The sequence below is a fragment of the Homo sapiens genome, chromosome 8 (genome assembly GCF_000001405.40).
Source record: "Homo sapiens chromosome 8, GRCh38.p14 Primary Assembly".
Lineage (NCBI taxonomy): Eukaryota > Metazoa > Chordata > Mammalia > Primates > Hominidae > Homo > Homo sapiens.
Window position 1 is genome coordinate 56,636,370 of NC_000008.11, and position 22,740 is coordinate 56,659,109.

Genomic DNA, 22,740 nt, shown 5'->3' on the forward strand with positions numbered 1-22,740 from the left:
CCTTGCTGGCAAGGAGTTGTAATACTTTGGAGGAGAAGAGGCAGTCTGGTTTTTGGAATTCTCAGCCTTGTTGCACTGGTTTTTCCTCATCTTCATGGATTTATCTACTTTTGGTCTTTGATGTTGGTGACCTTCAGATGGGATTTTTGTGTGGATGTCCTTTTTGTTGATGTTGATGCTATTCCTTTCTATTTGTTAGTTTTCCTTCTAACAGTCAGGATTCTCTTCTGCAGGTCTGCTGGAGTTTGCTGGAGGTCCACTCCAGACCCTATTAGGCTGCAGAACAACAAAGATTGCTGCCTCTTCCTTCCTCTGGAATCTTCATCCCAGAGGGGCACCCGCCAGATGCCAGCCAGAGGTCTCCTGTATGAGGTGTCTGTTGACCCCTGCTGGGAGTTGTCCCCCAGTCAGGAGGCATGGGGGTCAGGGACCCACTTGAGGAGGCAGTCTGTCCCTTATCAGAGCTCAAGTGCTGTGCTGGAAAATCTGCTGTTCTCTTCAGAGCTGGCAGGCAGGAATGTTTAAGTCAGCTGAAGCTATGCTCACAGCCGCCCCTTCCCCCAGGTGCTCTGTACCAGGCAGATGGGAGTTTTATCTATAAGCCCCTGACTAGAGCTGCTGCCTCTCTTTCAGAGATGCCCTGCCCAGAGAGAAGGAATCTAGAGAGGCAGTCTGGCTACAGCAGCTTTGCCAAGCTGCGGTGTGCTCTACCCAGTTCAATCTTCCCAGCAGCTTTGTTTACACTGTGTGGGGAAAACCGCCTACTCAAGCCTCAGTAATGGAGGATTCCCCTCCCCACACCAAGCTCTAGCATCCCAGGTCGACTTCAGACTGCTGCACTGACAGCGAGAATTTCAAGCCAGTGGATCTTAGCTTGCTGGGTTTGGTGGGAGTGCGATCCGCTGAGCTAGACCACTTGGCTCCCTGGCTTCAGTCCCCTTTCCAGGGAGTGAATGGTTCTGTCTCACTGGCATTCCAGGCACCACTGGGGTATGAAAAAAAACCTCCTGCAGCTAGGTTGTTGTCTGCCCAAACAGCCTCCCAGTTTTGTGTTTGAAACTGAGGGCCCTGGTGGTGTAGGCACCCGAGGGAATCTCCTGGTCTGAGGGTTGTGACGACCCTGGGAAAAGCGTAGTATCTGGGCCAGAATGCAATGTCCCTCACGGCACAGTCCCTCAAGGCTTCCCTTGGCTAGGGGAGGGAGTTTCCTGACCCCTTGGACTTCCCAGGTGAGGTGATGCCCCACCCTGCTTTGGCTCGCCTTCCCTGGGCTGCACCCACTGTCTAACCAGTCTCAATGAGAAGAGCTGGGTACCTCAGTTGGAAATGCAGAAATCACCTGCCTTCTGGGTTGATCTCGCTGGGAGCTGCAGACCAGAGCTGTTCCTATTCGGCCATCTTCTCAGGTCTCAAAACGTCAGCCTTTTAAAGTGCTGTAGAAATTAATTATAATCAATTGACTGAAATTGCCAAGTTTTTCTCAAGTTGGAAGTGACTTCAGCATAGAAAAAGGGACTTCATAGTTTAGTTGAATCTGGATAAATTAGAAATGACAGGCTTTTAATTTGTATTATTTAATTCATAACTTCAAAATTTTACAAAGGAACAAAATGAAAATTACATTTTCCACATAGTAAAATGAGTGTCACTTTTAATTTAGTTTGTTTGCCATGGAAATATTCCTGTTACTGCAAGAATCATTTGTTCAATTTAAAGCAAAATTGTGGAGTATATATGGGCTACCTACAAGTGGTTGAACATAGTCTTTTTAGAATTTTATGTACTATCAATTAAACATTTTTACTTGTCTAAGAAATAAATGTGAACAGTATATTTTTTCATTTTCAAAGTTTCCTAATGGTCTGAACAAGGAGGTGGAATTTGGAGGCATTTAGGGTAGAAAATTTGTTGAGAATTGATATTCAAATCTCTCATTTCCTGCTCTTCATTAGTAACATCAGCAAACTTCGTTAAAAATCACTTCTTTTTGCCTGATTTTCCCTGTGTGCCTTAATGATAGTATATCTGGAATGAATCCTTACCTTGAACTGTGTATAGTTTTTTTCATAGACTTTTCTCTCACATTTGTGTCTTCAATTCTTCTTTGCCTAGATGCCTTACTCAGCTCCCACTTCCATCTGAAAACCCCTCCTGGCCTTCTTACTCTTCTCTGTTCTCCAGGCCCCTGGTGTCCCACCCAGTCCTGTGCCATCTGTCCTCTTGCACAGTCCAGTACTCAGAACACCTCCTTCTTGCCCTCCTTCATCAAATCCACTTCGCACTCCACTTCATGCAGTTTGGTTCCCCCACCGTTTATACCACATTGCCATGTACAGTTTATTAAACATCAATCAAGCTAAAGGATAAACAATAAACCTAGTTATGTTATTTGATTTCAACATTACACTTGTGTTTATGGCCCATTTGCTTAGAACTTAGTGTAGAGGGGACATTCTCCTGGACATTATCTGACACCAAATAATTCAGTCCATAGTACTATTAAAGAACAACATTTTAGCAAACTGAGTTTTAAACATCAAATTGGCTTTTATTAATGATTCATGAATCAAGTGACATTCCATCTATGAAATAGAAAGGTGCCCTACTGAGCTGAGCAGATGTGTGGGCTTTATAATGGAAAAGACTGAAGAAAGCAGAAAGAAGAAACAAAAAGTGGACTGGTGATTTCAAAGCTACTTTCCTTGCATACGTTAAACTAGAGGAGACTTCCTTATCATGTGAGCTTAGGTTGACTGGGCCCCTTTCAATTGGTTACTGTGAATCTCCTTTTTTTTTTGAACAAGTGACCTATTTTTACATTCAGTTTGACAATGTGGCATCTGGCATGAGTGACTCCATTCTGGTTTGATCTGGTCTGTTGGGGCCTAGTGCAGGAGCTTAATCCAAAACAATGACCTCCCACATATTTTACTGAACAGCTTTCCCCTTTTGATCAGACTCAACCTGTACTGAGGGATTTGATAAAAATTTATGGCATCAGCACTACTGTCAGTCATCATCATGGCAGGGTTGTCTTTGTCTTAGCATGAAACTCATAAGTCACAATGTCAGCCTTGTGGAAGACACATTCCTTTGGTCATCTTGCAGTTGTTGCAGTAATCACAGTGAGGCCACCTAGTATACCACTAATCGCTGCAAATACACCTTCAAAACCCTTGAGAGAATGCAGCTGGGAGATTACAATGGGAACTATCAGGAGGATATACCAAGGGATTAGAGTATGCTTCTTAACAAATGCCCTCATGAACCAAACCAGAAAAAATAAACAAAACAAAAAAAAGCTATTAACAAAGGTTAATGGCTTAGGACAAATTATAAACTCAGTCTCTGAGTTCAGAGGGCAGTTAGTTGACAAGATTTCTGGATTTGAGCTTGAAACATTTTCTTGGTTTAGTTTGAATGTCTCTGGTTATGGCATTGGATGTTTTGGTAAACTCCCTTAGTGGCCCACACATCAGGCATGGGGGTTGTCTCCTGAAATTTACATCGAGTTGTCCAGTTCCAGCTTGTAGGGCTTCAGGAATATAGGAGTTTTTGTCCTTAGTGATTCCAAGTTAGAAATCTAGGAGAAAATTGGCAACATGAGTTTGGAGAGACACAGACAGATATTGGAGGAAATTAGAAGATACAGGATCTAGTTCTGTCTACAGCTAGATAATAGAAACCTCAAAAACAATGAACAGGGCTCTATTCTAATAACAGATGTATTTTAATTTTCTTCTGAAACATTTTTTTTCTCTCTACAGCTGTTCCCATTTCTATCAAATATAATCACAGTAAGACTAAATCATTTGTGAAGTAAGTCTAGTCTCATTAAACTTGGCCTAATTTTTTGTATAAGTGTAACAAGAATAGTGATTGTCACAGAGACTCTTTAAGTCTTCTGGAACTTTCGATGAGGTATCTCAGATTAGACTTTTAAAAGCCTCTTGAGACCAGGAAGCCATGCCAAGGACTCATCATCAGATTTTGCCTGCAATATCTATAAATGTAGGTGAACTCCTCTCTTTTCGAGATCCCCCAAATATTTTTAAGTTTCCTGGACATAATTTTCATAAGGCTCAAAAACCCTTGAAGGCAGGTATTCTACACACATTCTCAAATATGACATTCCAGTCTAAACGTTGGTAATATAATCAATGTTATGGTGTTCTAATGTGTTCAATGTTCTATTGTGCCCTTTTATAAAGAGAATAGATTCTTTTTGAACTTATGCAAATAACTATATTACCATGAAAATAAGAATACTTGCTAATAGTTTCTGAATTCTGGAGGGAATCAGGTAGAGAGAGGAAAAAGTAATTGTTTTAATTCTGTTTACAAAGGTATAATTTGCCAAATTGCTATAAGCTATAGATAGCTTATGAGAAAAAAAAAGTTTCCCTTAAATCTGGAAAATGAAACATTAAAGGACCAACAAAATTTCAAATAAAAAGGCCATCCTAACCCGTAATTCTTCTTCGTCAGTTTATTCAGTCTCATGTAACTAATTCTTACTCTGCTTGATCTTGATTAACTGTTCCATGAGCCTATCAGTTTCTTCATCAGAATTCTGGAACTTCTTACTCAGTCTAATTATGTAATCTTAAACTTATCAAAAAGCTGTACTTGTCAGAGTCCTTTTCATGAATCTCATTAAAGATGAAACACTTTAGGATGATAGTTGCTTACAAAAGCTTTCAGGAAAGTACTAAAGTAAAACAATTAACTCTCTGTGGATGACAAGATTTAAAATGGCCATGGTCAAAAATCTGATGAGAGTTCATTATAATAATGATGTAATTGACAAGGAAATTTGGTTATTTCTGTGGCATACAGCATTTTAACACAATAGAAAATTACAACTGATAATATTATACCACGACATTTCAGGTGTCTAGGATTATTATATAATCTCTGGAATATTCATGTCACTAACATTCCCATAGATATAACTTAAAGAAGGTTTAGCATTACTTGTTTGGCACTGCTTCCCATATAATTTAACATATTAAATAAACCTAATTAGTTTAATATTCCTTACTTGCAAGGTCAGAGACAAGTCCTTTGTGATTTTTAAGGAGCCCTCTAGAATATCTCAAAGTAAGTTAGAGATCAAAAATACTTAATTTAGAATTTGATTTTGGGAAGTTTGTCAGAAATATTAAAGGTTTAAGACACTTGATCAAATAGAATCATAGGTCATTATGAAGCAATATTCATTTATCCAGAGTGATAATTTAAAGACTTCAAAAGCAAATGCACAAAGTTATAAAGTTGAAAAAATTTATCTGTTTTAATAAAGAGGATGCAATTTTCTTAAGTAATCAAATATTTGATAAAAGAAAACATGAAATACAAGAACTTATTTTATAAGATAAAAAAACTTTTTACAAGCCAGATCATTCAAAGAGTTATTAAAAAAAACTTTTAAATAATATCAGTGCTCCAAGAAAACTTTATCCTTTTAACAGACAGAAAACCAGCTTTGAGGTTTGTGCCAATGTATTTTTGATATTAAGGCTCATTTTAAAAACCCTATATGCCCAGATATATAGAGAGATATGCCAATATCTAGTCTTAAGTTTTCCAAAATTTTTTTTCAATTAATAATTTCCTTAGAAGAGACCTAACAATTGTGGTAACTACCTCAAGTCTTTTATGGAAATACAAAGAGAAACATTTATACAAAAATATTACAGATATGCAGATTTATATAGTATATATTTTTGTAAAGAGAAACATTTATATAAAATATCATAGACAGGTTTTTGCTACCTGTGGTCATTTTGATTCCCATGGCTATATAAAAACATATTGGTTGGGGTTACATGGCATCCTAGATTGTTACTTAATTAAGACAAGGGAATAAAGAAGCAAAAAATTCACCACATGGTACATGTTTGGAGCCAGCATTTTTTGGTTACCATGAAAGTCAAAGGAGACAAAAGCCATGCCCAGGATAATGAGCTGCCACAGGCCCTATAATGCCAATAGATTTAGTCCTTGAGGTTTTCTCTTCTAGTGATAGCCCTCTACCATCAATTAAGAAATTGGGAAACATCTATTTGGGAAGGAAAAGAACAAAATTGGCTTTAGAAACTTCAATTCTGGGAGGAAAAAAGGTTAAATTATTTACTTAGGGTTTTGTTTGTTTGTTTGTTTGTTTAATCCACAGGGACTTATTCTTGTTTTTCTGTCATGGCTAAAAGTTCCTAATACTCACTACATGCATACTGGACTCATAAATCTCAACTATAATCTGTTTGTCAAGAATTTGCACTGGATAAAAATATTTTTTATTTTGGTCAGTTACACTGTCCGGAAAATCTGTGATTTAAAATAAATAAATAATACAGACTTAATAATCATAACTGAGGAACTTTCCAGTAGTTTTTAAGTGAAAACAATAAGGAAGCAGGTTAAGCAGACTATTAATTGAGTTCAATATCTATAGACCAATGTCCAAAGTAAAGGTAAGAAACATATAGAGTTCAATATAATAGCTGAGGTGTCATCGATATGTAAATATGCTTGGCTAGAACCTGAGAATACTTATTAAGGGGAAAAAAAACCCAAACAGTAGGCAAAAATTATGTACGTAGAGCTTTTTATAGTCAGACTTCTTCTACATACATTATCATCACATTTCATCTTCAATCCTTCTTAAAGGAAATCAAAGAATCATAATTTGCATTTTAAAGATGAAGAAAGTGAAGTTGAGAGGTATAGGTTCTCAAGGGTCACATGAATGGTGTCAACCTGTAATAAGCCTCATGTGTTCCCATATAGGAATCCAGAAGGCACGTCTCTGATGGGAACCCCATTATTTTTAAGGTAGACTCATGGTGTTCAGCATTTGAGTAAGTGGTGGGAACAAAGCAGTGTTATTGAGCATGGATATAGTAAAGATCACTGTGAAGTAGAAATTGCAATTTATAAATTCACTGATTCTTAACGAGCAAGGTGGATGTGCTTTCTCCACAGTAGTGACACAGTGGGCAGAGAGAAAATCGAGCAGTGCTAGGAAACTCCACTCAGATATGATTGTGATCCCCAGGCAAGTGACCACGTCATGGAGATCACATTAACTGGGCGGAAATAAACTACACCTGGAGAGACAACTATTTTAGATTCAAAGACATTCAAAGAAAGAATACAACCTTATTCTAGGGGCTCTACTAAGTTCTGGGGTGAGAGTCATCTAGCAACTCAATTTATGTACTAGATTGAATGACTGAGTAACAGTTCTCCTGATTGACATAATCCTTTTCATCTACAAACTACTGGTCAAGAAAGTGAGAAGATATTTATCCTAATCAAGTTAAGCTTTTGTGTCACATAAAGTACTCTTGAATATGTTTCTGTACCTATCTCTAGTTGAGACAAATTCAAATTGGGTGAGTATATTTTGTACACTTCCTATTGTTCTGTAGTTTGATTAATTTTGAAAGATTTATTTGTCTACATGTAAAGTAAAAATACCTTATCTCTACTTTAAGAAATGGGAGTTGGGAGAGAAAGCTATTGTATTAGGGTTCTCCAGAGAATCAGAACAACAATAACAATGATATATTTTATATACAAGTATTTTTTATATATATATTATGTGTTTATGTGTGTGTATATATATATATATAGAGAGAGAGAGATTTTTAACAAATTGGCTCATGCAGTTCTGGGGGCTGGTAAGTACAAAACCCATAGGCTAGCTGGAGATTCAGGTAAGAGTTGAGCTTGCAGTCTATAGTCTTGAATATGAAGGCTGGACACTCAGGCAGAATTTCTATGTTGCATTCTGGAGGCAGAATTCCTTCCTTTTCAGGGGACCTTAGTCTTTGTTTTTAAGGCCTTCAACTGATTGGATGAGGCCCACTTACATTATGGAGGGTAATCTGTTTTACTCAACATCTACTGATTTAACTGTTAATCACATCTAAAGATGCTTTCACTGCAACATCTAGACTTGTGTTGAACCAAGCAACTGGCACCATGGTTAGCAAAGTGGACACATAAAATTAACCATCACAGCTTTAAAAAGAGGGAGTGTGCATTATATTTTACCATCTTTTTTCCATTTTGTTCTCCATTCACAAATACCAACTGTCACCTTTTATGTCACACACACATAATGGCAAGAGTTTGGCATTGATAGTCATTGTTTATGTTGATTTGAGTACATAGGAAAATTTTTAAAACAAGGCATCAATTTTAGGACTGAAATAGGATGGAAAAGCCTTTTTGGGGAAGCCTGATTTTCTTTCCTATTTGTTTCTTTTACACATTAGGATGTGTTTCCTTACTTCTATGTTAATAATGTACAGCTGTCCAAGAGCAAAGGCGAATCCATTCTATAAGCAATGGTCCTTAGTTGCAACTTTGCTCTACATTTTACAATAACAATGCAAGATTGTACTTAATACTAGTTCTGCATGTTGATATATGCGTAGCAGAGGCTTCCAAACATTTCTGATCGTGCTCTGTATTAATCCATTCTCACATTGCTATAAGGAACTACCTGAGATTGGGTAATTGATGAAGAAAAGAGGTTTAATTGACTACAGTTCCACAGGCTGTACAGGAAACTGGCCTGGGAGGCCTCAGGAAACTTACAATCATGTTGGAAGCAAAGGGAAAGCAGGCACCGTCCTCATATGGCAGAGCAGGAGAGAGTGAGGGGGAAAGTGCTACGCACTTTAAAAAAACAGATCTCAGGAGAACTCACTCACTAGCAAAAGGACAGCAAGGGGGATATCCACCCCATGATCCAGTCACCTCCCACCAGACCCCTCCTCCAATACATGCAGATTACAATTCAACATGAGATTTGGGTGGGGACACAGAGCCAAACCATATGATCCTCGATACTTGTAAAAACTTTTGAACATGCACCTCAGTGTTGCTAACTGCTGTATTTGTAATTGATACACACAATGCTATATGGTGTATGCAATACAAAATATATAAAAACAGAATAGGAAAGGGTGAGAGGAAAGTAAACACAAATGGAGGCTCTAATATTTTTTTCTTGCTCCCCAGTGGATTGTCCTGAGCACATCCAAGGGGAGGCTACTCTTCTTTGGGTATTCACTTGTCTAGAGAATGCTTGTTAAATTGCACTGACTGTTCTCATTAGAGATAATTGAAGTGCCTCACCTTGGAGTGCCAAATCATCTTTACTTTGAGAATTTTGTAAGAATCTTTCTAAAATGCAAAGCTCATTGCAATACCCTTCAAAAAGAATACACCAACATAATCTAACCTTTTTGGGTAATTTGCGGTTGTCAGATTTTACGCAGGAATTTTCACAAGGCCTTTTGAGTCAAGACTATTTGGTTCTTCATTAAATGGATCCCACTGCTAAGTCTTCTCCCTTTAGTTTTCTCTTCTTAGCCATAATCTGTCCTTAGGGTGTCATTTCCTAGCAACACAAACTTTTTATCTTCTCCATAGTGCTTCTTCTCTTCCATTAATAAAGCTATAACGAATAGTTTTAAATAGTTATAAATAACATCACCATTGAAAAACAAAATAAATCACATTGGAAGAGCAGAATTGACTTTTATTTTCAACAATTAACTCTAGCCAACCAGAAATAAAAAATACAAACAAACAAAAGAAAAATGCATTGATTAGCAAAACCAAGGCCCTGGAGATCAAGTTCTCACAGGAAGTGGGGGAAGGTGATGGAAATCAATGCAAATATCACAGATTACATATTGTTTAAAAACAACGAAGACAGTACTAAACATGCATCTTTTAAAAAACAAGTCACGTTTTGGACATTAAAATCCTTCTTCAGTAGGTACCATTTTTCCAGAATCAAAATCAAGTCTTTTGATTATGAAGAAAAGCCCTGGTCATAGGGTAGATTTCCCCACAGGTATCTACCTTTCAAAGTTTCTCAAGCTTGTTTTTACTTGTTGGAAAATAAAGTCTTTTGCATTTACATATTCTTCAATTGCAACTTTCTTCAAAATATTTGTATAAATGCTGAGTCTTTCTTTGAATTATTAGAATATTCAAAGTGAGATTTTGGGGACTGGCTTTCATCTCTATGTTGGACTAGCATAGCCTGAATTAAGGTTCCCTCTCCTGCTTTGTATTATGTCCTCAGACTCACCCAAACCTCTGCTCTAGAGGCCAGAGGAGAAAAATGACAGGTGTTGTTTTTTTCTTTAAGGGGAATGAAGTGAACTATGTATACCTACAAGACCACAGATTTTAAACATTTTACAATGTGGATAAGATATATTTTTCAAGCCTTGATTGTCACAGATTTACTGTATTAAGATATTAAGCTTTCAAGCAGGCCTTGACAAATTTTTCTGTAAAAGCCCAGATAGTAAACATTTCAGCCTTTACAAGAAAGAGGCAAAATCAAGGATATTCTGTGTGTATTTATATAACAATACAAAAATAAATTTCTACAGTAATTTTGTTGAACAACTTCAAGATATCATAATCGAGTACAGTGTCTTTTACAATACAGGTCTATTAGTGAGAAGAATGGAATAATTTTTTTCAGGCTATAACATTTCACTTCATTAGGTTGTAAAGTGAGCGCTCCCTCTCATCAAATTGATTGAAAATGTTCATCTGTAAACATGTGCCTTGAAGGCCACAGAATACAGGCAGCCATCTGACCTCTGCTCTGAAGCAGGAATGCTCAACGTTTCGTTTTTTTCATAGTAATTATTGGGGAAGATCGTCATGAATGCAGATTTCTGAATTCCAGAGAGAAGGTTTTGACTTTGTTTGCTTGAAATAGGGCCCAGTAAATTGCATTGTGAGAGAGCTGCCCAGCTGATTCTGGTATCTGTGGATTCACACCACGCTTTAAGGAAGACACAGTCAGAGTGAAGGCCTGAGACTGGCCTTGGAGTTCCTGTGAAGGGACAAGAAGAGAGAGCAGGTGTTCAGTTGTGGATGTCTTGAGGTTAAAGTTTCAGGGTCACAGACTAAATGTACTTTTAACATGCTGCAAGGCAAAAGCACCTGGTTGGGATGCCCTCACCAAAGCTCTCTGTCCAGAAGTTTCATGCCCACTGTTTTTCTTTCTCTGCAGGACGTCCTCCTTCACTTTCTGACCTTGGCTGGCTGCATTTCTTGGCTGGCTGCAGCTCTCGCTTATTGGTGAGTCAGGTACTAGTATATCTCTGTGGTAATGCTGGGACACAGCCTAGTTAGATTCCAAATTTTACATTCTGCTTTTTCACTCTCTCCAAAACCTCACACAATCTCATAATAAACAAATCCAATAGGATTTTAAAAATATTCTTTCTAAATATGAAATAACAAGGTAACTAAAGTATAGGAAACTGATAAATTCTCTGAATAAAAAGATGAATTCCAATCCAGTTAGGGAGATGCAATCTCTTTACGAGTATGCACAAAACAAGGAGAAAGTGACCGCGCCTCAGAGGAATAACTAAAAAGCTATGGAGTTCAGTGGGAGGTGGCATTACCTGCAATTAGGAGAAATTTGGAAAGACTTCCTGGAGGAAGAGGCACTTGAATTGATCCTTTAAAGAAGGACAGCTTTTAGATAAGTGAAGAGGGGAATGTGGGAGAACTAGTGCAAGAGGAGGCATTTCAGGTAGAAAAGTAGAATGCAAAGACAGAGAAATAGGAAATATTGGGCTGGGGCCAGCAATTTCTTCAATTTGTAAGAATACAAGTCATGAAAAGAAGCAGCAGCAATAAGGTTGGGGATTTAGGCTGAAAACCACGCAGACCTTTAAGGACCATACTATAGAACTGGATGTTTTCCAGTGGAGACCTGAGGAGTTTGGGGTAGGGGGGCATGAGAAAGCCTGTTCTTTAGGAAGATTCATCTGAAAGCAGATTACGATAGGACCGCAGCAAGGAGAGAGTGGCATTTAAGGAGGTGGCATTTAGGAAGGTCTGGCCCATCAGGGTGGGGGCATCTAAGAGGGAAGAGAGGAGTGGATGTCAACACCAGTGACACGAAGTCTGTAGTGCAGGCAACCACTTTGAAGAATGGGGCAAGAGTAAGAGAGAAAACATGCCAGTTGTGTGTCTTGGTTCTTGGGAGGAGGCTGGCACCATCAGTAGGTGATGACTGCAGAGGAAAAGGGACTGTTTGGAAAGAGCAGTGCTCAGGTATGCTATGCCTCCACTGCAGGTTGCATTAAGCTCATAGCTGAACTACCCAGGAGGTTAACATTTGCTTGGAAGAAGGTGGCCACATTGGGCTGGAGCAGGGACATCACAGAGTGCCCCAGGGTGCCTGACAAGGCCCACACCATGACCATGAGGTGGGCCTTGCTAAATGAGGTAGCTCAGTCCTTACTGAACATCACCTTCCTTATCATCAGCACAGGCCCTGGAGCCAGATAGCCTGTGTGAGAGTCCTGGAGCCACTGCTTATTTGCTGTGAAACACCATGCAAGGTTCTCAACCTCGCTGGGCCTGTTTTCTCCTTGTAAAATGGAGATAATAACAATGCTGACATCATAGGGATGGTGTGATAATGAGATGAGAGTGTAAGCAAAGTGCTTTGAACAGTGGCTGGCAGCTGGTGAGTTAGCAATTGTCATCATTTTACACTGGCAATACTTAATTTTATGCGTCAACTTGACTGGGTTAAGTGATACCCAGATAGCTGGTAAAATATTATTTCTGGGAGTGTTTGTGAGGGTGTCTCCAGAAGGGATTGGCATGTGAATAAGTAGAATGAGTAAAGAAGATCTCCCCTCACCAATGTGGCGGGCATCACCCAATCAGCTGGGTCTGGATAGAATAAAAAGGTGAAGGAAGAGTGAATTCTCTCTCTTCTTGAGTTGTGACATCCATCATCTCTTGCCTTCAGACATCAGAGCTCTAGGTTTTCAGACCTTCAAACTCAAACTGAAATACATCACTGGCCTTCCTGGTTCTTTAGCTTACACATAGAAGATTGTGGGACTAGCTTACACATAGAAGATTGTAGCTACGTGAGCCAATTCCCATAATAAATTTCCTCTTATACATCTGTATTTCTCCTATTGGTTTTGTTTCTCTGGAGAACCCCCAATACAGTGCTCAAGGCTTAGTTCCTCACCCTTGAAGAACTGACATTAATAATCAATGTACTTACATAAGATATGGTTGAAAATATTGAAAGCCTCTATATCTTGACTCAATTTAGAGTCTCCAAACCTCTTACTAATCTTTGGCAAGAAAGTGAGGTCAGCACTCAAGGATCCCCGAATAACCTCTCTCCTATAGCTGGGCAGCACTGCGGAACCTATTTTTGTGTATTCCATCCCCCTCATACTGATTTAGTTCTCATTCATCTGGGATGTTCTGATGCTGAGTTTGGTCTAAAAACCATATTCAGGACCCATTTACCCACAGCAGGAATATTAAGTGTGTAAGTGTGTAGTTTGGGATGTGTTTGAATTGTGGTGTCTATGTCATGGATTAATCAGTCATTTCAGCTTCCTTCAACGTAAAACCAAGTTCTTGGGGATTGGAATGGGGCATTCTAATGAGTGCTTCTGTCAATATTATCCACCACTCACTCATTGCCCCTAGTCTCCTCTCTTCCAGTACTGAAGTTCGGAAGCCCCTGGACCATCATTTAATAGTCCTCTGACACTGTCTTATGATACTACTTATTGTTCAGAGTTTGAACCTTATGGCTCCAAAGTGGATATTTGAAACTGACCTGGTTTTCATGTTTCATTTAGAAACTTTAGCCATTCTTCACACCTCTTCTTGGATGACTTTCAAAATATGTATTAAAAGCCTAGGTCCAATTCCTGAATTTCAGAATCACATTCTTGACACTCTACTTTACATTTCAAAGTTCCACCATCAAGTTTAATATGTCTAACTCTAAACCCATCATCTTCTTATGACCAGATTTGCACCTGAGTTTCCATATTTCAGTCAGTTTCTCTCCCTGCTTCACTATCTTGCCTTGCACAGATGGTCTGTCTTCATGTCCTGCAGCCTTGGTCAGCTCAGGTTGCTATAACAAAAATCCCAGAGACTAGGTGGCTTAAACAATAAACATTTATTTCTCGTAGTTCTGGAGGCTGAGTCATGTAAGAGCAAGGGGCTCAAAAGTCCAGTGTCTGGTGGTGTCCTGCTTCCTGTATTGCAGAACACCTCATTCTGATTGTGTCCTCACAATGAGAAGACAGAAATCAAGCTCTCTGGTGTCTCTTCTTATAAAAGCATTTATCTTGGAAGGCCGAAGCAGGTGGATCACCTGAGGTCAGGAATTCAAGACCAGCCTGGCCAACATGGTGAAACCTAGTCTCTACTAAAAATACAAAAATTAGCCAGGCATGGTGGTGGGTGCCCAGAATCCCAGCTACTCGGGAGGCTGAGGCAGGAGAATAGCTTGAACCTGGGAGGCAGAGGTTGCAGTGAGCTGAGATGGCGCCACTGCACTCCAGTCTGGGTGACAGAGCGATACCCTATCTTGAAAAAAAAAGCATTTATCCTATCATCTTGTTAGGTCATGAGACCTTCATGGTCTAATTACCTTCCTAAGGCCCCATCTCCAAATACCATCATATTAGGGATTAGAGTTTCAACATATATATTTTTGAGGGACACAGACATTCCATCCATAACACCTGCCAATCATTTCTCAACAGTATCTTTCCAGGCTTGCACTTTGGTCAGTTCAGTCTACTGCTTTTTTTCCTTTTCCTGATCCCATCACCTCATACCTACAGTATTCCAGGAATACTCTAGTTGCCACACTTCCAATTCTGTACATTCTTCATTCTACACACAATCCTGCTGAATGAATGTGCCCAAGTGAACAAACTGACCTACCTTATTCCACTTGTGTTGCTATAAAGGAATATCCAAGCCTGGGTAATTCATAAAGAAAAATGGTTTGTTTGGCTCATGATTCTGAGGTCTGGAAAAGTTCAAAACTGGGCATCTGGTGAAAGCCTCAGGCTGCTTCCATTCATGGCAGAAAACAAAGGGGAGCTGGTATGTGTAGAGATCACAAGGTGAGAGAGGAAGCAAGATGGGGGAAGGTGTCAGGCTGTTCTCAACAATCAGCTCTCACAGGAACTGACAGAGTGAGAGCTCACTCATTACCACGAGGAGGGCACCAAGCTGTTTATGAGGGATCTGCCCCCAAGACCCAACCCCCTCCCATCAGGTCCCACTTCCAATGTTGGGGTCAAATTTCAACATAAGATTGGGAAAGGTCAAACAAACCAAACTATAACATTGCTTGTGTGGTTGCTCTGCACTAACATGCCTGCCATCCACTGAGAGGCAAGGCCCGAATGCTCTCAGTCCCACAGACACTGAAGGAATCTTCATTTAGGGGACTGATACCTTTAAGACCACTGGGATATAGCTCGGCTGGGGCTCTGGCAGGTGTCCAGTGCCACAGGCTGGGAGGGCTAGACATACGGGAAAGTAATTTGGACCATATTCCCCCAGGAAGAAATCCATGATACTGGGCAATCTTGTGAGCAGGTGGAAGGATAGCTGGCTCCAGTGTGGCTCCCATTTTAGAAAGGATGGGGCCTTGGCTGGACATATGAATCACTGATGGAGCTTTTAAAAAATACACATGCCTGAGAGATTCTGAAAAGGAAGGTCTGGGATGGGTCTAGAATCTTTGAATTTTTAAAAGCTCAGTGGGTAATTCTAGATTGAAAATTGAATTTTAGTGGTTAGCTGCACCCCCTTTAGCCAGAAAACTGATCCTATGGTATTGTTCATTTCCCAAGCCAGAGCTAGTGCTCTTTGGGGAGCAGCAGGCAGAGTTCTCCATGGCAGTGGTTGAGGAGCAGGGGCAGTGCAGATTTTCCCAAAGGCCATTTCCAGCACAAAGCAGTCCCAGGGCCACAGTGCATGCATGGTGGCGTGGAGCCTTTGGTCAAGCAAGGAATTGGCCCTATGTGTGTTAAGTTGCTCTTGTTAGAGTCCAAGAGAAGGGCTCTTTGAGGGATGAGATTTCACAGACCAGAGAAAAAAAATTTCTGTATTCCATCTTTTGCACTGTCTTTGGGAGAGGCTTAGAGGCAAAAGGAATATCGAGGGAAGCAGAGACTAGCAATGTGGGCAGTGGAGCAGGCTGTGGGTTAAATGGTGTCTCCCCAAAAGATATGTTGGAGTCCTAACCCCTAGCATCTGTGAATGTGACATTACTCAGAAATAGAGATTTTGCAAAGGTAATAAAGTTAAGATGAGGTCAGTAGGGTGGGTCCTAATCCAATATAAAAGTTGTTCTTATAATAAAGGAAGAAGACAGGGACACGCAGGGAGTGGAGGGCCATGTGACCATGGATGCAGAGCTAGAGTGCTGCATCCACAAGCCAGGGAGTGCCAGGACTGCTGACAAACATGCTGGGGAAGGCAAGGAAGGATTCTCCCCTGTGGGTTTCAGATGGAGCTTGGCTCTGTCATCCCTTTTATTTGTGACATCTAGCCTCAAAACTGTGAGAGAAAACATTTCTGTTATTGTAAGCCACCTAATTGGTGGTCCTTTGTTATGTCAGCCTTGAAAATGAATACAGGGCATTTTTTTTTTAGTCCATTTCTGTTATTTGGGTGAGGCAACGTGGGGACCAGCTGGCCGTGCTCTGTAAGGAGTCCCAATTCTGCTCAGGAACTATTGCCAACCTCATTAGCAGAGGAACTAGGGGCCTGGGACATGGGATCACATCCCAAAATTGGCCTCTAAATCCCCAATTAAAGAATCAGAACATATTTTTCAATGTATTCTGTTTCAAACAAGAATTACTATTTGAAACTCTTTTTTCAATATATTTTACTTTTAATCTTTCTTCTTTCCATATGAGACAGAGTAGGGATGGGACCCAGCCTTAACTATCCCATAACATATTTTTCCATACACACCCGCTAACCATCAGACCTTGCACCACCCCCACTGACGCCATTCCCGCTGACCACAAAACCTTGCAACCCGTGTGGGAACGCTAAGGTAAGCTGCAGCGCATCATAAATCTCACCCAAGGGCTTTAACCCCACCACTCGCATGCGCAGAAAACCAGAAGAATGACAATCCAGACCTCCAGCCTCACCCTGCAATGCATGTATTAACATTATTTCTCACTGCGCCTGCGCACCCTGCAGCTCTGCCCCACACAGTACCTCGAAATTATTCACGTCGCCCCCCACTCCCCCCACCTTTTTTTTTTTTTGAAACAGAGTATCCATCTTGTTGCCCAGACTGGAGTGCAATGGCGCGATCTCGGCTCACAGCAACCTCCGCCTCCCGGTTTCAAGCGATTCTCCAGCCTCAGCCTCCCGAGTAGCTGGGATTACAGGGATTACAGGTGTGTGCCACCACGCCCGGATAATTTTTATATTTTTAGTTAGTAGAGACGGGGTTTTACCGTGTTGGCGAGGCTGGTGTCGAATTCCTGACCTCAGGTGATCCGCCCGCCTCCGCGCTGGGATTACAGGCATGAGCTACCGCGCCGGGCCTCAAGTCGCCCTTCTTAAAACACCACAAAGACCTGCCGGCAGGGAGCCAGCTGAGAATTCTTGTTCCTCAGCTGGCTCCCCTGTGCTGGGGCATAGGCAATAAAGCCTTATCTGGAAAACCTTCACAGACCTGTGTCAGTTTCGGTTACATGAAAGCCTGAGAACCCATAGTCAGCGACACATAGAATGGTAAATTCAGAATTGGACTATTAATTTTTGAGTCAAAGTTTTTTTTTCTCTTTCCCTTTAAACTTGTGATTGTATAATTTCTTTTTTGCTTTATGCACTCTGTGACTGATTTATCAATTACTATAAAGTCATTAATCTTGGAAAATAAAAATAAAATCCTAAGCCCGCCAATTGACTGAATGGACCCCCTCTTAGCCAAGGGGACCCCAGAGAAAAACCTTAAAAAGTGAGTACTGGCCATGATGAGATAGGAGGTCCAATATGCCTTGTTAAACTCCCTCGCTAAACGCCATTAGGCTTTCTTCCTTAAGGGTTAAACAGAAACCAGCCCTTTTATTATTTGTTATTTATTTATTATTCCTTTATTTATTTATTTATTTATTTATTTATCTATTTATTTTTGAGACAGAGTCTTGCTCTGTCGCTCAGGCTGGAGTGCAGTGCAGCGATCTTGGCTCACTGAAACCTCTGCCTCCCGGGTTCAAGTGATTCTCCCTCCTCAGCCTCCCGAGTAGCTGGGATTACGGGTGTGTGCAGTCACGCCCGGATAATCTTTATATTTTTAGTAGAGAGGGGGTTTTACCATATTGGCCAGGCTGGTCTCGAATACCTGACCTCAGGTGATCCACCTGCCTCAGCCTCCCAAAGCTCTAGGATTACAGGCATGAGCCACCGAGCCTGGTCAGAAACCAGCCCTTTTGAAAGACTCCCTCCCCCACTGATATCAACCAACTGCCTGATGCGCGCCCCCCATCCTGCCCCCGTTACTGGTAGAAGGTGTCCAAGTGACCTAGTAGTTAGATATTTCCTCTTCAAATTGTAGCCTAGTCCACCTCATTCAGTCTCTGTTGCTGTTATAACAAATTACCTGGGAGGCTCAAGGGGCAAATTTCTTTCTTACCTCTTCCAATGTGTGTGGCTGTCAGCATTCCTTGGCTCGTAACCACATCTCTTTCTGTTCTGTGTTCACATTGCCTTCTCTGTATCTGTCTTCTCCATGTGTCTGTTTTGTAAGGATCCTTGTGATTGCATTTAGAACCAACCTAGATAATCCAGGATAATCTCCTCTCCATCCTTAATTTAATCATATCTTTTGCTATGTAAGGTGATATTCATTTGCTATGTAAGGGATCCAGGGATTAGGAGATGGACACCATTTAATCCACTACATTTAACAAATGCAGAAATGCTTTCTTTTTAAATTCACAGTTCTGTATAATAAATTACCTACCTATTACACATTTGAGGCAATAAAATATACAAGTTTTGTGCACAGTAAGTTACCAATTCTGAGGACCGCCTTTTTCACCCATAATCTGAGCCACAGTTTTAGAATGAACCTACTTTTGCAGACATAAAATCCTTTACGTTTTCATATACACTGTATTCTACAGTTCCCTACTGTATACATAGTTGTCTCAATAAAAACATGAAGCAGCCAGGTGCGGTGGTTCACGCCTGTAATCCCAGCACTTTGGGAGGCCGAGGCAGGTGGATCACGAGGTCAGGAGATCGAGACCTTCCTGGCTAACACGGTGAAACCCCGTCTCTACTAAAAATACAAAAAAATCAGCCAGGTGTGGTGGCGGGCGCTGAGCTACTTGGGAGGCTGAGGCAGCAGAATGGCATGAACCCGGGAGGTAGAGCTTGCAGTGAGCGGAGATTGCGCCACTGCACTCCAGCCTGGGCTGCAGAGCAAGACTCCCATCTCAAAAAAAAAAAAAAAAAAAAAAAAAAAAAAAAAAAAAAAAGAAGCGTTTAAGTAGAGAGGTTCCTAAGAGTAAACCAGTCACCCAATTTTACAAATGAGACAACCCAAATCACATGACAATGATAACAGAGCTGCTGTAGAATCAAGAGGTATGACCCCCATTCACCAGCTTTTCCTGATATATTCTGTATTTTCTTTCCTTTTATCTAACGCACCAAAGGTGTTATTCATTTGTTTCTCCAATCAATACATATTTGTTAAGAACTCACGAAGTACTGGGCACTACATTATGATTATCTAGAGTATATAAAAATTATAAAATGTTTCACTACTGAAAAATTGTTGCTTATTTGCCAGCTTATATTCTAGTGCTCACTGCTTTAAGAAATCCTATGCTTCTGTTGGTCAATTCCTCAAGGAGACAGAAAAGTGGAAAACCCCAGTAGAGGTTTTCTTATTCCTCCAGGTTTTCCCCTTTCTCTCTGCATTAGGAGCAGGACCTCTTCCTTATTCTGAAAACCCCACAGCTAAATGCCATTTCCTTTACTGGCTGATCACCTGACTGCATCCTTACTCTAGGAAGCTCCAGAGACAGACGTGTGCTCTGCCTTCACATAGGAAGCTGCACATCAATCCACTGCCACTGGAACGAGGGGCTTGAGTTGTCCTTTATCCAGAAGTCACGAAAAGGATTTGTTCAGAGTCAGCTGTATTTTGTTCTTGGCTCCACTTGCAATCTATCCTCCATGTTGCAAGATGGCGGCTGGCCAGTTAGAACAGGAGAATGTCATCAGGGGCTGTTATCAACAGTCCACGTGGATTGGAAATAATGTAATGACTGGGCCTTGTTAGCAAAAGATTGGCCAGTTGATCTATGAAGCACAGACAAGTTTCCTATGGGTATCAGCCTAAGAATTCTCTCTCTGTATATATTTCAATAAATAAACATAGGCAAGAACCACCTCTTAGGTTTGCTGGCTAAGATGAGAACACATGATTCAACTTGCTATGTTTGGGTGCTTAATAAGGCTCACTAACCTAGAAACAAGGTAAAAGTACATATCAACAAATACCTGCCAAATACTATGTTGTAACTAAATATTTACAAATCTGCCTCCTCCTTTAGACTATACAGTCCTTAGGGACATAAGCTGTGTTTTTCCCCTGTTGGTTTCCTTTGTGCCCAACACAGGACCAAGCCCACAAGAAGCACTCTCTAAATGCTTATCCTTGTTAAATTCAGTCCATCTTTACTGTGGGGCAGATATATGACAGGTTTCTTTCCCATGGATCATTTATTCTATTTCCACTGAAATGTTACTTGGCCTGAATATTTTCTCTTCATCAGAATATTATTAAAGTAATAGAAGAAAATGCCATACAAAATGTGGTTATTTAGGACTGAATAGCTTAGTCATTCTAATTATTTTATCTATTATTATCTAATTTGTCACACAGTTTGTCCTAGCTGCTTGTAATATTATGGCTTTTCCAAAAAAGAAATGGAGTGTGTGCACATGCGTGTATGCTGTACATGTTTGTGTGTGTGCATGCATGTCTGTGTGTGGACATTATGTGCGTGTGCATGCATGTATGGTGTGTGTGTGTACACACAGAAGTATAGCAAATACATATGGATTTGTAAGAGACTTCCTAACAAAATTGCATCTTTAGTTACTTTTCCAATTTTTTTCTGATATGAAGAAGCACCAGGATGAATCATCTACGGTGGCTGAGGACTATTGATTATGTTTGATAGGAAGGACATGACACCACCCATGTGACTTCTTTTGAATGGTATTAATTATGGGAGTCATTACTGTGTTCCAGTGCTCTAGTGTCTATCATCTGCCACGCAAATTCAAATGCAGCCTCACTGGATGGTTTCTTAGACCATCGAATTAGACCACATGACATGGCAGCATGTTGGGAAGATGATCAATGGGAGAAGCTCTAGGATAAATTACTTCTGCTTGAAAAATATATTGCCTACCTGGGTAAAAATGTAATTGTGACTGTAGAAATGGAAGAAATCAATTATAAAAATAATGATTGCCTCAGATTGTTTATAATGAATTCAGTATTTTTTTATTTGCTAAGTTCGTAAGCAAACTGGAAAGATAGACTGAGAGGAGAAATGGAGTACATGAAAGTTTAAGGATGATCAAATGAACTAATTTTCTTCTTTAAGTTAATGTTTTGAATGTACATAAAGGTAAATGAATTATGTTCAAATATACTGATACATTTTCACAAACAGAAAATACCCATCCACCCATATCAAGTCACTGAACATTACCAGCATCTCAGAACCTTGCCATTGGGCCCCTTTTTAGGCTGCCATCCCCCACCTTCCATCCCATATGACTGTCTTGACTTTTAACCTCATACATTTATTTTGAAGCTGGCATTATTTTGGTGGGGGGAGGGGACAAATGCAGGCAGGGTAAAAGGATAAAATGAGTATTCAGATCATTCAGAATAAAAAATCCTCTAGAGAACAAAAAAAAAAATGAAGAATAGTGAATTGGTGTTGGTTTTGGTGAAGCAGCAGAAATGGAAATAGTAGGCAAAGAAGAAAAGTAATCTATATACAAATAATATAAAATGATTTTTTCAGGGGTCATATTTAAAAACATAGTTTGGTTATTTTGAAAGTCATTTTATGAGTGCATATGTGGCCTTCTTGATAGATTAGAAGTACTTCAGATATGAAGACTGCTAGAATCTGTTCACAGTAATTTTTCCAAAAAGCATTTGGATAGTGCTAATATTTGGATATTGCTAATATTTAAAATCACAGGCTGGGATAGTGCTAATATTTAAAATCACAGGCTGGGATAGTGCTAATATTTAAAATCACAGGCTGGGATAGTGCTAATATTTAAAATCACAGGCTGGACGTGGTGGCTCACGCCTGTAATCCCAACACTTTAGGAGGCCGAGGCGGGCAGACCACCTGAGATCAGGAGTTCGAGACCAGGCTGGCCAATGTGGTGAAACCCCATCTCTACTAAAAATACAAAAATTATCTGGGTGTGGTGGCGGGTGCCTGTAATCCCAGCTACTTGGGAGGCTGAGGCAGGAGAATCACATGAACCTGGGATGCTGAGTTTGCAGTGAGCCAAGATTGTGCCATTGCACTCCAGCCTACGCAACAAGAGCGAAACTCCTTCTCAAAAATAAATAAATAAATAAATAAATAAATAAATAAATAAAATAAAATCACATGGTAGTATAATATATAAGGCCATGAAGAAAACATTTAGGGATAGATAAAGTGTGTTATTTGACTGCCAACAGTAGTTGTACAATGGACATGAATGGCATCTATTCTCAAACAGAGCACCTGAACATAGATATGCCCTGGTCATGGGTGCTGAGGAGGAAGT

At 40.2% G+C, this 22,740-nt stretch overlaps 1 long non-coding RNA gene across 4 annotated transcripts; it reads right to left on the minus strand.

Moving 5' to 3' along the window:
• Positions 1-2,527: 2,527 nt before the first annotated feature.
• LOC105375851 (uncharacterized) lies at positions 2,528-20,129 on the minus strand. Of its 4 annotated transcripts, none has more exons than NR_188102.1 (4): positions 19,923-20,129; positions 18,539-18,640; positions 9,263-9,478; positions 2,528-3,583 (listed from the first exon to the last, which is right to left on the minus strand). It is a non-coding gene; the product is annotated as an uncharacterized LOC105375851 (long non-coding RNA). The 4 variants fall into 4 exon arrangements; NR_188101.1 differs by having other exon boundaries at positions 18,539-18,680; NR_188103.1 differs by lacking the exon at positions 9,263-9,478.
• Between the last annotated feature and the right edge of the window lie 2,611 nt (positions 20,130-22,740).